The sequence below is a fragment of the Homo sapiens genome, chromosome 16 (assembly GCF_000001405.40).
Source record: "Homo sapiens chromosome 16, GRCh38.p14 Primary Assembly".
Taxonomy (NCBI): domain Eukaryota; kingdom Metazoa; phylum Chordata; class Mammalia; order Primates; family Hominidae; genus Homo; species Homo sapiens.
The window spans coordinates 29,156,391-29,170,248 of record NC_000016.10 but is presented as its reverse complement, the minus strand read 5'-3'; the positions used below and the strand labels follow the sequence as shown (position 1 = coordinate 29,170,248).

At 49.6% G+C, this 13,858-nt stretch overlaps 2 annotated features.

Annotated features, from left to right (window-relative positions):
* Positions 3,371-3,871: an enhancer, noted in NCBI's record as "H3K4me1 hESC enhancer chr16:29177699-29178199 (GRCh37/hg19 assembly coordinates)". NCBI's record gives its function as "activates a minimal SCP1, AML or CMV promoter by ChIP-STARR-seq in primed H9 embryonic stem cells {active_cell/tissue: H9 hESC(primed)}" and the evidence as "EXISTENCE:reporter gene assay evidence [ECO:0000049][PMID:30033119]".
* Positions 13,367-13,661: a silencer, noted in NCBI's record as "tiled region #414; K562 Repressive non-DNase unmatched - State 20:ReprD". NCBI's record gives its function as "represses a minimal TATA promoter and a strong SV40 promoter by Sharpr-MPRA in K562 cells {active_cell/tissue: K562}" and the evidence as "EXISTENCE:reporter gene assay evidence [ECO:0000049][PMID:27701403]".

Here is a 13,858-nt window from a genome sequence, read left to right as displayed (position 1 = left end):
TGTAGTCCCAGCTACTTGGGAGGCTGAGGCAGGAGAATGCATGAACCCAGGAGGCAGAGCTTGCAGTGAGCCGAGATCAAACCACTGCACTCCAGTCTGGGCGACAGAGCGAGACTCCATCTCAAAAAAAAAAAAAAAGAATAAAACATGGCCAGCTTCACAGTGAGATCCCTGAAGACAGATCTGTGCCTGTGGATCACGGGTCCCAGCACCAAGCCGGTGTCGCTGAGGAACCGAATGCCCAGGAAAGAGGGGCCCCGGGTGTGGGTGCTCCTCTGGGTGTGAGTGCTCCCCTGGGTGTGGGTGCTCCTCACCAACAGCTAACGTGTGGGGCCTTCCTGTGCCCCAGCCAAGGTGACACGAACACCCCAAGTTTTCACCCCTCAGGCACCCATGAGATGGCCCCTGCCCGGGAAGCAGCCACAGGCTGGCACTGTTGGCCCAGATCGACCCTGGCCAACCCCGTCCATCTGGAGTCAGCCCCATCTGGCGGTGTCACTGACAACAGAGTCAACCAGCCCCAAATTCTCCCCAACAGATGACTTCTCAGTGAGCCTGGAATTCCAAACATTGAGTAGCAGAACAAAGCAGATGACAAATGATGTGTGCCAGAGAGGATTCCTCGGGGGAGACTGGGCTCGGCCAAGAGGCCTTGTGAGATAAAGGAGGGGAGAAATGAGGACACTGAAGATTTACAGAGACGATTCCTTCATAGCCCTGCCCCACGGAATGCTCGGGTCCCCAGGCCAATAGGCTTCTGTTCCAGATGCCAGCAGGGAGTGCCGATTCTTCCCAGGTGGTCAGGAGCCCCTGCTGCCCGGGGCCTCACCCTGGCTTCATCAGCAAGGCAGGCACATGGCGGGGGGACTGACCCCTGTCCAGGAGCTGCCTGCAGGGAGGAGCGGCCTGGGGACTTTCTTTTGAAACAAGATGAAAACTCTGATGAAATGAATCAGTTAACAGAGAGAAAAATGGCAATGGGTATATGGCAAGGAGTAAATATCCTCCATATAGAAAGAGCTCTTATAAATCAATGAGGAAAAAACAAATCCATTTAAAATTTTAAAATAATATACACTGGCAATCAGCCAAAGAAAAAATGCAAACAGCTGTCCATCCTAACTCACAATCCATGACACCAGCTTGCTCGAGGCACAGGCCAACTGCCAGGCGGCAGGGATTTACAAGTGTGGCAACACCCTGCTGTCAGGGTGAGGAGGCGGGCACACCCACACGGGGTCGGCAGATGGAAATGGATGCAGCTTTTTAGGAGCTTCTTGGACATCCGCCTGGCTTTTAAATGTGCTTATTCTTGATTCTGTAATTCCACTTCCAGGAACTTATTCTAAATAACTAATAGATACATATGCAAAGATGGATAAGTGAAGACATGCATTGCAACATGGCTCATTGCAGAAAGTAACTACACAGAATGATCTAGACCCATCCATAAGGGGTTTGTGAAATGGATGGTGGTGCATCCACGCAGACCTCTCTGTCCTCCTCACTGTGTCCCCAGCTCCCAGCACATGGTTCCAGCACACAGCACGTGGTTCGTAAACGTTTGCCCAAAGAGTGAGTACAACAGTGCACCGTGCAGCCATGAAAAGGAACAAAGCAGTGTGTCCCAACGCAGAAGGATGGCCACAAAATACCACCGGGTGGAAAAAGTGGTTATAAAGCTAAATGCCAAGGGCTGCCCATTTACATGACAATACATTCAGAAAGATGATGCTCTAAACCTAAGTACTGGGATCACTGTGATGATTCCATTCATTCATTCATTCATTCATTCATTCATTCATTGTGACAGAGCCTCGCTCTGTCGCCCAGGCTGGAGTGCAGTGGCGCGATCTCAGCTCGCAGCAACCTCCACCTCCGGGGGGGTTCCAGTGATTGTCCTGCCTCAGCCTCTTAAGTAGCTGGGATGACAGGCGCCCACCACCACGCTCAGCTAATTTTTTGTATTTTTAGCAGAGACGGGGTTTCACCATGTTGGCCAGGCTGGTCTCGAACTCCTGACCTCAGGTGATCCGCCCACCTCGGCCTCCACTCCCTTTGTAACCTGGTGCCGGTGAAGTCCTTGAGTGCTGCACCCTTGGCTTCCTTTCCCCACACACCGTGGTTTTTAACTGCGCCATTCTGCCTGCGTGGTGGTTTCTAGGGACGCCGATATCACGTTTTGGCAGAACCGACTATACCTGCTGTGTGCGGCATGCAGTTTGTCCAGAGCATACAGCGAGACCTCTCTGAAGACCCCCAAATGGCCTCGACCCCGGCTTTTGAGGGAGGGCTGGACAGCTCAGCCTCCCGTTTCCTGCGCACGCACCCCGATGCTGCAAGCTGCCATCTGGGAGGCTTGGTATTCGGGTTAGAGACAAACAGCGCCCGACGGTAATGGTCCTCGAGCCCAACTCTGCCGACCCACGCATTCAGTTTAGTCCTCTTAATGCAGATCTAGAAATGGTTTTTCACTGAAGAGAAAACTACAGAAACTTCTGCCACCACAGGACCAGGACTTGATCACAAGCAAGAAAAGCTAAGTCTGAAACTGGTAACTTTTCCAAACCAAAGACCAAAGCATGCCAGGATTCCCTCAGAGGGGCTTTGGTGGCTGGTGTGGCAATAGCCTTCTTTTTCTTTTTTTCTCTTTTAGACAGAGTCTCGCTCTGTGGCCCAGGCTGCTGAAGTGCAATGGCACGATCTTGGCTCATTACAGCCTTGATCTGGACTCAAGTGATCCTCCCACCTCAGCCCTCCTGAGTAGCTGAGACTGCAGGCGTGTGCCACCACATCTGGCTTTTTGTATTTTTTTGTATTCTTAGTAGGGATGGGGTCTCCCATGTTGCCTAGGCTGGTCTCAAAATCTTGGGCTGAAGTAATCCTCCTACCTCAGCCTTCCAAAGTGCTGGGATTATAGGCATGAACCACCACTCCCAGGCAGCTTCAATTTAACAAAAAATATATTTATCACCTATTGAATTCCAAGCACTGTGTTGAAAGAGGGTAGGACCCCAGATAAAGAAACAGATACTTGCATAAATCAATGCAATGCAATATAGAACTTGTAGCAAAAAAAACCGGTATGTGCAAAGTACAGAAGCAGAGGACAATGAGTTCTGTCTTCTCGGCTCCACAGATTCCAAGGAAGAACAGAGGCAGTGACAAGACTCACCGAGGACCTCCTGCCCACCAGACCCTGCCGAGAGGCTGCCATGATGGCTCACCAGAGGCCGAGATGACCCTAAGGCTAACCCCACTTTAAGATGAGGAGCCTGAGGCTCGTGTTAGTTTGGTTCCTGGCATGACGCTGTGGCAGGGCTGGGGAGCTCATCTCTCTGACCCAGAGCTCACGGGGATGAGCTCCAGTTGGAATGAATGAGTCAGGTACTTTTTGATAGTTGGAAGTTAACGCTTTATCACTGCATTACCGATTGTTTAGGAGCTCAGGCCCTTCCAGGTGGAGCACCCTCTAAGCAAAGTGTAAAGTGTTCTGAACCACAGTGGCGCCACTTCATGGAGGATCGATTGTATTTGAGGGTTGGAGGGTGAGAACAGCAAAAAATAATAATTCAACCAGTTGGTTATTATGAACATCATTTTCATATTTTTAAAAATATGCTATATCATGGAATTCAATGTAAAACCTCAAGAGATGCCATCCTTGGAGAGGGCTGCACCAGCCTGTGCCCCAAGTTACCCAGGATCACCCCCTACTTCTCCTGACGGCCCCCCGAGAAAGGCCTGCATTCTGGGCGACGTGGCCTTCAGGGGCTCAACCCTTGGCCTCGAGAGGGGCCACCCATCCTCAGCGGCTCAGGCATCTGTGCTGGTGCTGTCTCGCCATCTGGGTCACCCAACAGCTGCCATCCTCTGCCCTTCTCCCAGGGCCCAGGGAGTAATTCCCATAGAATTCACACAGACTAGAGGCCGGTGGGCCGAGACCTAAACAGGGGCACAGCCCCTCCTGTGCAGAACCCTGGGCCTACACTCACTGCTGTGGCCGCCGGCACAGGCAAGCCTCATGCCTGTGTGTCCTGGAGCTTGGTTCTGGGGAGGTGTTTTGGGAATAAACTCTTAGATCTTCAGTGTTGGGCTGGTCCTTCACAGTCTCCCTCATTTAACTGAGGTGAGGAGACAGCAAAACCCTCTGGAAATTTGGAGTAGGTGTTGCTTCAAGAAACAGAGTTTTCCTTCTAAACACAGTTCTTGTTGTCACCAAATCCAACCTTCTTCATCTCAAATACAGAATTCAGATGGAAAGGAGGCCACCCCACCCTCAGCCCAGTGCTCAACTCACACAGCAGCTCCCAAGGTAGAGGCGAGACAGGGCAGCCCCAGGCCCTCCCTGCCGCCTGCAGCACTGACGGCGCTCATCACACCAGCCTTTCCACTCTCAACAAATGGTTTCGCCGTATCTGAATACCGCCCTCCTCCTCCCGCCCCAGAATGCTGTTCACTTATCTTTCTTTAAACAAATTTTCTCATAAACTGCAATGCAAGTATTGAGAAATCAAACTTGATATTACTACTGTAAAGGAAAAATCAGAGTCGACTGACCAAACAGAAAGTCGCCATAAAAATGAAAGCAGTGAAATCAAGGCGATAATATTCTATTCTAGTGAGATCCTGGAAGCCAGGGATTCGTTGCTGAATTCTATTAGACATTTAAGGAAGAGAATGACGTCAAACTCATACAAACTTCTTCAGAAAGTGAAGGAGGAGGGACTGTTTTCCCATCTGTGTTATGAGGCCTGTGACGCGGACAACGCTGGAAAGAACCTGCAGGCAACAGCAGAGCAAGGCCCTCGTGAGCACGGCAACATTCCTCAACAAAAATGAGCAAATCCATCCCAGAAAACATGAAACTGGGCCGGGCGTGGTGGCTCACACCTGTAATCCCAGCACTGTGGGAGGCCAAGGCGGGCTGATCACCTGAGGTCAGGAGTTCGAGACCAGCCTGGACAACATGGTGAATGAAACCTCGTCTCTACTAAAAATACAAAAATAGCCAGGCGTGGTGGCGTGTGACTGTAATCCCAGCTACTCGGGAGGCTGAGGCAGAAGAATCACTTGAACCCGGGGGACAGAGGTTGCAGTAAGCCGAGATTGCCCCACTGCACTCCAGCCTGGCCAATATGGCAAAACCCCATCTCTACCAAAAACACAAGAATTAGCTGGGTATGGTGGTGCGTGCCTATAATCCCAGCTACTCAGGAGGCTGAGGCAGGAGAATTGCTTGAACTCGGGGGACGGAGGTTGCAGTGAGCCGAGATCGAGCCACTGCACTCCAGCCTGGGTTACAGAGCAAGACTTTGTCTCAAAAAAAACAAAAAACAAAAAACATATTATCACCAAGTGAGATTCATCCCAAAAATGCAGAGTTGGCATTCAAAAATCAATCAACACAATTCACTATATAAGCAGAATAAGGAGAAAAACAATAAGATCATTGTGGAAGATGCAGTAAAGGCTTTGGCAAAACTCAACATCCAGTTATGATTAAAATCTCCAAGCACAACTGGGATAGGAAATAACTTCCTCAACTGATAAAGAACATCTCTGTAAAGTCTAGAGCTAACATCATCCTTAATGGTGAAATACGAGACGTTCCCCCTAAGGCCAGGATGTCTCCACACATCACTTCTATCTCACATTGTACTAGGTTCCAGCCAGTACAGTAAAGACAGAAACAAACAATAAAAAGCATGCAGGAGAGGAAGAAATAAAACTGCATTATCTACAGACAATGCAAACATCTACTTCGATAATCCCAAAGAATTTTTTTTTTTTTTTTTTTTTTTTGGTGATGGAGTCTCACTCTGTCACCCAGGCTGGAGTGCAACGGTGCAATCTCGGCTCACTGCAACCTCTGCCTCCCAGGTTCAAGCAATTCTCCTGTCTCGGCCTCTTCAGTAGCTGGGATTACAGGCACCCACCACCACTCCCAGCTAATTTTTTATATTTTAGTAAAGACGGGGTTTCACCATGTTGCCCAGGCTCGTCTCAAACTCCTGAGCTCAGGCAATCCACCCGCATTGGCCTCCCAAAGTGCTAGGATTATAGGCGTGAGCCACTGCGCCCAACTGGAACTTTTTAAAAAGTTACTAGAACTAGAACTAAGCAGGGTCTCAGGATAAAGGCCAGTATGCAAATATTAACAGTATTTCTATCTATAAGCACAAGCAATTGGAAATTTAAATTTTTAAAAAAATACCATTTGCAAAAAAATAAAATACCATTTGCAAGTGAATCATAAAATTCTTAGGGATAAATTTAACAAAATATGAGCTACTATACTCTGATTTCTCTTCAGATCATACAAATCCTTCACCTTTTACAAAGTATGAGCTAGACCTGATAGTGAAAACTATAAAATGCTACTGAGAGAAATTAAAGGAGATCTAAATAAAAAGAAAGGCAAACTATGTTCATGGATTGGATTACTCGATAGAGTTAAGATGGCAACCCTTCCCAAATTGGCCAATAGATTTAACTCATTCCAGTCCAAGCCATGCAGGCTATTTTTGTAGAAACCGACATGCTGATTCTAAAAGTTATATGGCTTCATAGAATGACTTAGGGAGGATTCCCTCTTTCTCTGTCTTTTGGAATAGTTTCAATAGGATTGGTACCAATTCTTCTTTGAATTTCTGAAATGCAAAGGATCTATAATAGCTAAAATAATTTTGAAAAGAACAAATTTAGAAGACATACTATCTTAAGATATAGTATAAAACCACAAGACAGCATGCCAATGTAAAGATAGATGTGTAGATCAATGAAAGAAGTCCAGAAATAGACCCACACATAAATGGTCAATTTTCAACAAAGTGCTAAAGCAATTCTGTGAGGAAAGAACATTCTTCTCAACAAATGGTGCTGGCACAACTGCAAATTCATATGGAAAAATATGAACCCCACCTCACAGCACACACAAAGTATCTTGAAATGGAGCATAGATCTAATTATAAAAGCTTAATCTAGAAAACTTCTGGAAGAAAACATAGGAAAAATTATTCATGACCCTGGGATAGACAAATTTTTTTTGGATAGGACACAAAAAGTATTTTTAAAAGACTGATAAATTAAACATCGAAAACTTCTATTCTTGGCCGGGCACAGTGGCTCACGCCTGTAATCCCAGCACTTTGGAACACTGAGACGGGTGGATCACCTGAGGTCGGGAGATCAAGACCAACCTGGCCAATATGGAGAAACCCCGTCTCTACTAAAAATGCAAAATTAGCCAGGTGTGGTGGTGCATGCCTGTAATCCCACCTACTTGGGAGGCTGAGGCAGGAGAATCGCTTGAACCTAGGAGGCAGAGGTTGCAGTGAGCCTAGATCGTGCCATTGCACTCCAGCCTGGGCAACAAGAGCAAAACTCCATCTCAAAAAAAAAAACAAAAACAAACAAACAAAAAACACTTCTATTATTCCAAACACATGATTAAGAAATTAAAAAGCAAATCAGCCTGGGCGTGGTGGCTCATGCCTGTGATCCCAGCACTTTGGGAAGCTGAGGCTGGTGGATTGCTTGAGCCCAGTTCAAAACCAGCATGGGCAACATGGTGAGGCCCTGTCTCCACAAAAAATACAAAAATTAGCAGGGTGTGATGGCATGTGCCTGAAGTCCCAGCTACTCAGGAGGCTGAGGTGGGAGGAGCCTAGAAGGTGGAGGCTGCAGTGAGCCATGATTGCACCACTGCACTCCAGCCTGGGTGACAGAGTGAGACCTTGTCTCAAAAAATAAATAAAATAAAATAAAAATAAAAAACAAGTCACAGACTGGGAGAAAATTCTGGCCAAACAGATACCTGATAAAGGACTTGCATCCAGACCACAATCAAAAGCTTTTGAAACTCAACACAAACATCCCCATAAAAATGAGTGAAACTGGCTGGGTGCGTCGGCTCACGCCTGTGATCCCAGCACTTTGGGAGGCCGAGGCAGGTGGTTCACCTGAGGTCAGGAGTTCGAGACCAGCCTGGCCAAGATGGAGAAACCCCGTCTCTACTAAAAATATAAAATTAGCTGGGCATGGTGGCACATGCCTGTAATCCCAGCTACTTGGGAGGCTAAGACAGGAGAATCGCTTGAACCTGGGAGACGGAGTTTGCAGTGAGCCGAGAGTGCGCCATTGCACTCCAGCCTGGGCAACAAGAGTGAAACTCCATCTCGAAATTTAAAAAAGAGTCAAATATCTGAATAGACACTTCATCAAAGATTGCAAAGAAGTATAGGAAAAGATTCTCAAAATCATTAGTCACTAGAAAATGAAAAAACTAGAAAAATAAAAAATATAATTATAATATGCAACCCACCCCTACATCTATCGGGAGAAACGACCCCTTTGGCAAGGGTTTGACGCTGCTGATAAAGTCACACATATACTCACCACATGGCCCCGCAATTCTCCTCCTAGGCCCTCACCCAAGAGAAATGCAAACCCAGGCACACACCAAGACTTGCTGTTAATATCCACGGCAGTTTATTCCTAACAACAGCCCAAAATTGAAAACAACCCAAATCTTCATCCACGGCAGTTTATTCCTAACAACAGCCCAAAATTGAAAACAGCCCAAATCTTCATCCACGGCAGTTTATTCCTAACAACAGCCCAAAATTGAAAACAGCCCAAATCTTCATCCACGGCAGTTTATTCCTAACAACAGCCCAAAATTAAAAGCAGCCCAAATCTTCATCGACAGGTGCGCCTGCAAACAAACCGTAGTACATCCAAAAATGAAGCACTACTCAACAATGAAAGGAATGACCTTCTGAGAGGCAACACGGCACGGATAAACCTCGACACTCCGCTGGGTGAAAGAACAGACACACAGCCCGTGCGTGCTGCCTGACTCCATGGACACGAAACCCTGGAAAACCCTGTCTCATCCAAGCAAGGGAAAGCAGACGGGTTGGGGCATACAAGGGGTGGAGCAGGGCCTTTCCAGGTGATGGGTAGTCTAGGGGTGGTGCTGGCTATGTGAGTGCAAAAATGTGTCCATACTCTCCAGCATATGCCATTCAAACCACTAAAATCATTTAGCAAAAATAAATAAATAAAAGTGATAGCCAACAAAGAGGCAATTTGAGTATCAAAAATATAACAATTGCAGCTGGACCCAATGGCGGGCATCTGTAGTCCCAGCTATTTGGGAGGCTGAGGCAGGAGGATCACTTGAACCCAGGAGGACAAGGCTGCAGTAAGCTATGATTGCACCACTGCACTCCAGCCTGGGGGACAGAGTGAGATGCCATCTCTAAAATATATATTTATATACACACACACACATATATACAGAGAGTTAAGCATATAAACACATATATACACACATATATATACACAGAGCTAAGAATATATACCTAAAGTATATTTATGTACACACACATAAAACTGTGGCAGACTAAAGCATACAAATACGTGTACAAATCCTCCAGCTCCTGACCAAACTGACTGTGTTTGCCTTTTGGAGGTTGCCGGCTCACACAGGGTAAATGTTTGACCTTCTTATTTTATTGACCAAGTATCCAAGTGGCTGCCGTGGCCATAGTGAGTGACAGAGTGCCATCTGAGTGGCTGCCGTGGCCATAGCAAGTGATGGAGTGTGATCTGAGTGGCCGCCGTGGGCATAGCGAGTGACGGGAATGCAATCAGAGTGGCTGCCATGGCTGTAGTGAGTGACGGGATGTGATCCGAGTGACTGCTGTGGCCGTAGTGGGTGACGGGATGTGATCCGAGTGACTGCTGTGGCCGTAGTGGGTGATGGAGTGTGATCCGAGTGGCCACCGTGGCCACACCAAGTGACAGAGTGTGATCCAAGGGGCCATCGTGGCCATAGCAAGTGATGGGGTGTGATCAGAGTGGCTGCTGTGGCTGTAGCAAGTGACAGGTTGCGATCACAGTGGCTGCCGTGGCCCTATTGAGTGACGGGATGCAATCCGAGTGGTCGCCGCCGTGGCCATACCGAGTGACGGGGTGTGATCTGAGTGGCCACTGTGGCCACAGTGAGTGACGGAGTGTGATCCGAGTGGCCGCCGTGGCCGTAGCGAGTGACGGAGTGTCTACACTGTTTATTTGGCTTCTGTGGAAGTTTGGCAAAAGGGAGAGGAATCACTTTGATGAGAGGACAGGGATGTACCATCTCTGTACGCGTTACCACGAGCCTCTGTTCTAGTGGCCAGTGAGTAAAAAAGAAGCATATTTTGACAAATAAATTCCTAATCATAAACAGTAAACTTCAGCAAACCCAGGACCTAGTGGGCGAGTATTTGCACAGTTACATGAGAACTCTGCAGTGCGGCCTGCAACCGCCTGGCCAATTTAGGATTAGGAAGGCAGGGATTAAAAGTTACTGAACAACAGACAAAATGATATATGATTCCTTAGGTCATTGGAATAAATTATAGATAAGCTTAAATATGTATGGAATTTTGCCTACTCAACTCTCACAGCGGCCCAGGGCCGGATTTCAGCCTGTGAGCCGGGGTTGTGACGTGACAGCCAGACTTCAAGGGCCCATCTGGCCAAGGCTGAGCTCTCTTCAAGGTCAGTTTTGTTTCTTTGCGAACAATTCTTTTTGGAAGTTCACTGAGCCAGCCCCTCCGATGGCCAGAATCGATACTGAAATGTTCGGCTCATGACACGGCGCTGGCGACAGCGGCTTAGTTTCTCTCTTTAACTCTCTGAGTATGTTTTTATGTTTGGTTGGTTTTTGTTTCGAGTTTTAATAATAGGGTGAACTCCTCGGAGGGTTTGGACAAGGACCAAAGTCAGTGTAAGGAGAGCACCAAGTACAGCGCCCCCACCCCCCCGACCCCCACCAACCCCACCGTTCATGGTACACAGCCGGTGCCAACTGCAGCGCCCCCCCCAACCCCCCACCCCACCATGCATGGTACATAGCGGGTGCCTCATGCAGTGCCCCCTCCCGACCCCCCCATCCCACCATGCATGGTGCACAGCGGGTACCTCATGCAGCGCCCACCACCCCCCCACCCCACTGTGCACGGTACATAGCGGGTGCCTCGTGCCACCCCAGTGAAGGAGAGGGTGCAAAACACCCCACACTGATGGTGAGGTCTTTCTAGAACCTCACCCAACGCCTGCGGCCAAGAAAGTTTGCATGGCTGAGAACCAAGAAACCACACGGCCTCCCACCCTCGGGTGAGGTCAGGCGGCTCCAGTGGACGCAGCCAGCCGGGGCTCACGCCTGGATTCTAATTGCCCTCGACACGGGCGTCTCCTCCAGGATTCATACGAGACGCCGTCGACAAGCTCTGTCCTCCGAGTTCCATTTTCCAGCCAGTGTTCCCAGGGCTCAGGCCTTCCACCGCGCTGGGAGCTGCCACGTGTCCTGACGTGTCCCAGCGCAGTGAGGCCCGCCCGGGAGCCGCGGTGACCCAGGCGTTCTGGTGGGTCTGGAGGCTCCGTGGACAGGGCGGCTCCGTCCCTGGTTGAGGGCTCTCGCCTCCCTGCTGCGGCCGTGGAGCTCACGCTGCGGGTCCAGCATCCGGCCGCCTGCAACCGCCCAGTCCAGGTGACCGTGACAGTAACACCGCCGACGTCCTCCAGCTGCCTGTGTTCTCCCAGGTGGGGCGCGCCATCTCCGCTGTTTCCCAGCCCTCTGGCTAATGCGTCCCGCCGGCCCGATGACATCACTCCGGGAAATGAGCACCAAGCTCCGATAGAGGAATCAGTTTATCATCTGCCATTTCTGTAACACACACATGCAGCAGAAGGCGGGGGCCTGGGCCTCCTGCACGGACCCCAGAGAAAGCAAGTGTCACGAGGCTCTGCTGAGGCAGGCAGTGGCTCCCCTGGGCCCAGGGCTGCCCCTGAAGATTGCTCTCCTCCTCAGCAACCACGGGGCAGTTCTGCACTCCCTGGAAGCAGGGAAGCTGGAGAATGGCTCAGGGGCGATGCCTCCCCCTCCACAGGACACGTTCACCCACCCTGGCCCAGCACACTCTCCCCGGTGCAGCCTCCACCCTCCCAGGCGGACTTGGGGGCCTCTTGGTTGTGTGTGGTTCCCCATCCCATTCTCCTCAGAAGAGAGTGCTCTCCTCACAGCGCGCACGGCGGCAGCAGACAGACCCAACACCAGGACCCCACGGGCCGGGACTCCACAGACGGCTCTCGCTTTGCAAATGTGGTCTGACTGAACCATCCTGTCCCAAACAGTGGGCAGGACAAAAACCAGATGTCCCCATCTCTTCCCTAACCCCACTCCCTACGACACGCTCCCAGTTAACCAAGACCAGGCTTCAGGGAGCTGGGCAAAACCTTATCAGTCAGCCGTTGACTTCCCAGAGGAGAACCAGGAGAGGCAGCCACCTGGGAACAGCCCAGTCCCACACATCCAGAGCTGGGCCGGCCAGCATCCACCCAAACGGCTGGACCCGGTGGGGGACAGTTTCCCGCACCTGTGTCTCCACCCCACCCTCTGTGTAAAACACATCCAGGCTGCCGGCCCCGTGACCCAGGAGCAGGTGTTGTTCATCAGTGCACGTGGAGCGAGGCATTCTGATGAAAACTTTGGTATTTGGTTGCTTTGAGCAATTGGCTTGGAAGGAAAATTGGTGACCAAGAAGAATGCTGAGTTGCTCCCAGCCGTGCAAGGTTATTCTCATCAGGGTCACTTAATAATGAAAAACACCCAGCACAGATGGGCCCCGAAGGTGCACCACAGGCTGCGGATGGCCAGGCTTCTGCACTGAGGCATGTGGCTTTAAGGAAGAGTGCGGAGATGAAGCGAGGGAGGGAGATAAACCTGTAGGAGACCATGAAATAGTGAATTTCAGACCCGGTTCTCAGGGGGCCCAGAGCTAACCGTGAGACCGCCTCGGCTGATACAAAGAAGCCTCTAGAAGACATTTCTTCACTTACTTTCTTTTCAAGCTCACAACTCCTCAAGGACAGGACAAACGTTATTTTCATTCCACAGATGGCAAAACAAGCCCAAGAGTTACGAGTTGTCAGGGAAACTTGCAAAAGACTTTGAAACGAGCAAAAACAAACAGTGACTCAGTTCCTGCCTAGGCCCTGCCTCTCATTGTCTTGGGGCTATTTTGCAACTTTGTAAATCCTAGAAAAGTGAGAGCAGTGGAAACACAAGTGAACTGCATCTCCGTGGAATGCAGCCGAGGACCACCTGGGGATAAAGCATCTCCACATCTATTTGTAAACTCATCTCAGCATTCCCTATTGCTTATCCGTGTGGTTCTCTGAATTCTCTCCCAAATGCCGGAAACATCTTACTGGTGCCTGCATTAGTTAATGAGTTAAATAAAGTCTTTGACATGTATGTATTCTGTATTTTTGAGTCAGAATTGTATCTTCTTTTAAAAGCAGTCCTTTGACACCAGGGCCCCTCTGCTAAGGAAGCCATAGAGTCGGGAATCTGAGCCTGGATCAGCACACTCTGAAGGGAAGAAAAGAGGAAGATGAGACTCCAGGAGCACCCGGGGCGTGCCTGACCCCTGCGCGCCATCACCCTCCCTCTGCAGAGGTGGAGGTGACAGGTGAGCTGACACAGAAAGCAGAGAGTCAGCCCAAATGGTAGATGTTGCTCCCATGGTTCTCTGGGACCACGGCGGGCAGGACCAGGTCGAGCAGCTGAGACTCTTGTGCTTCCTTTGCTGACACCGGCCCCATCCAAAGGGCTCCCGTCCTCAGGGTGGGGCTGTGGAGAGCCCGTGAAGAAACTCAAAAGGCTCCACCAAAACACTGCGAAGAATTCTAAAAAGAACTTAGAAGAAATGTACAGTCTTTAAAAGCTGCGAGGCAAGATTTCAATGAAAAGATAGGAGCCGGGTGCGGTGGTTCATGCCTGGGTAATCCCAGCACTTTG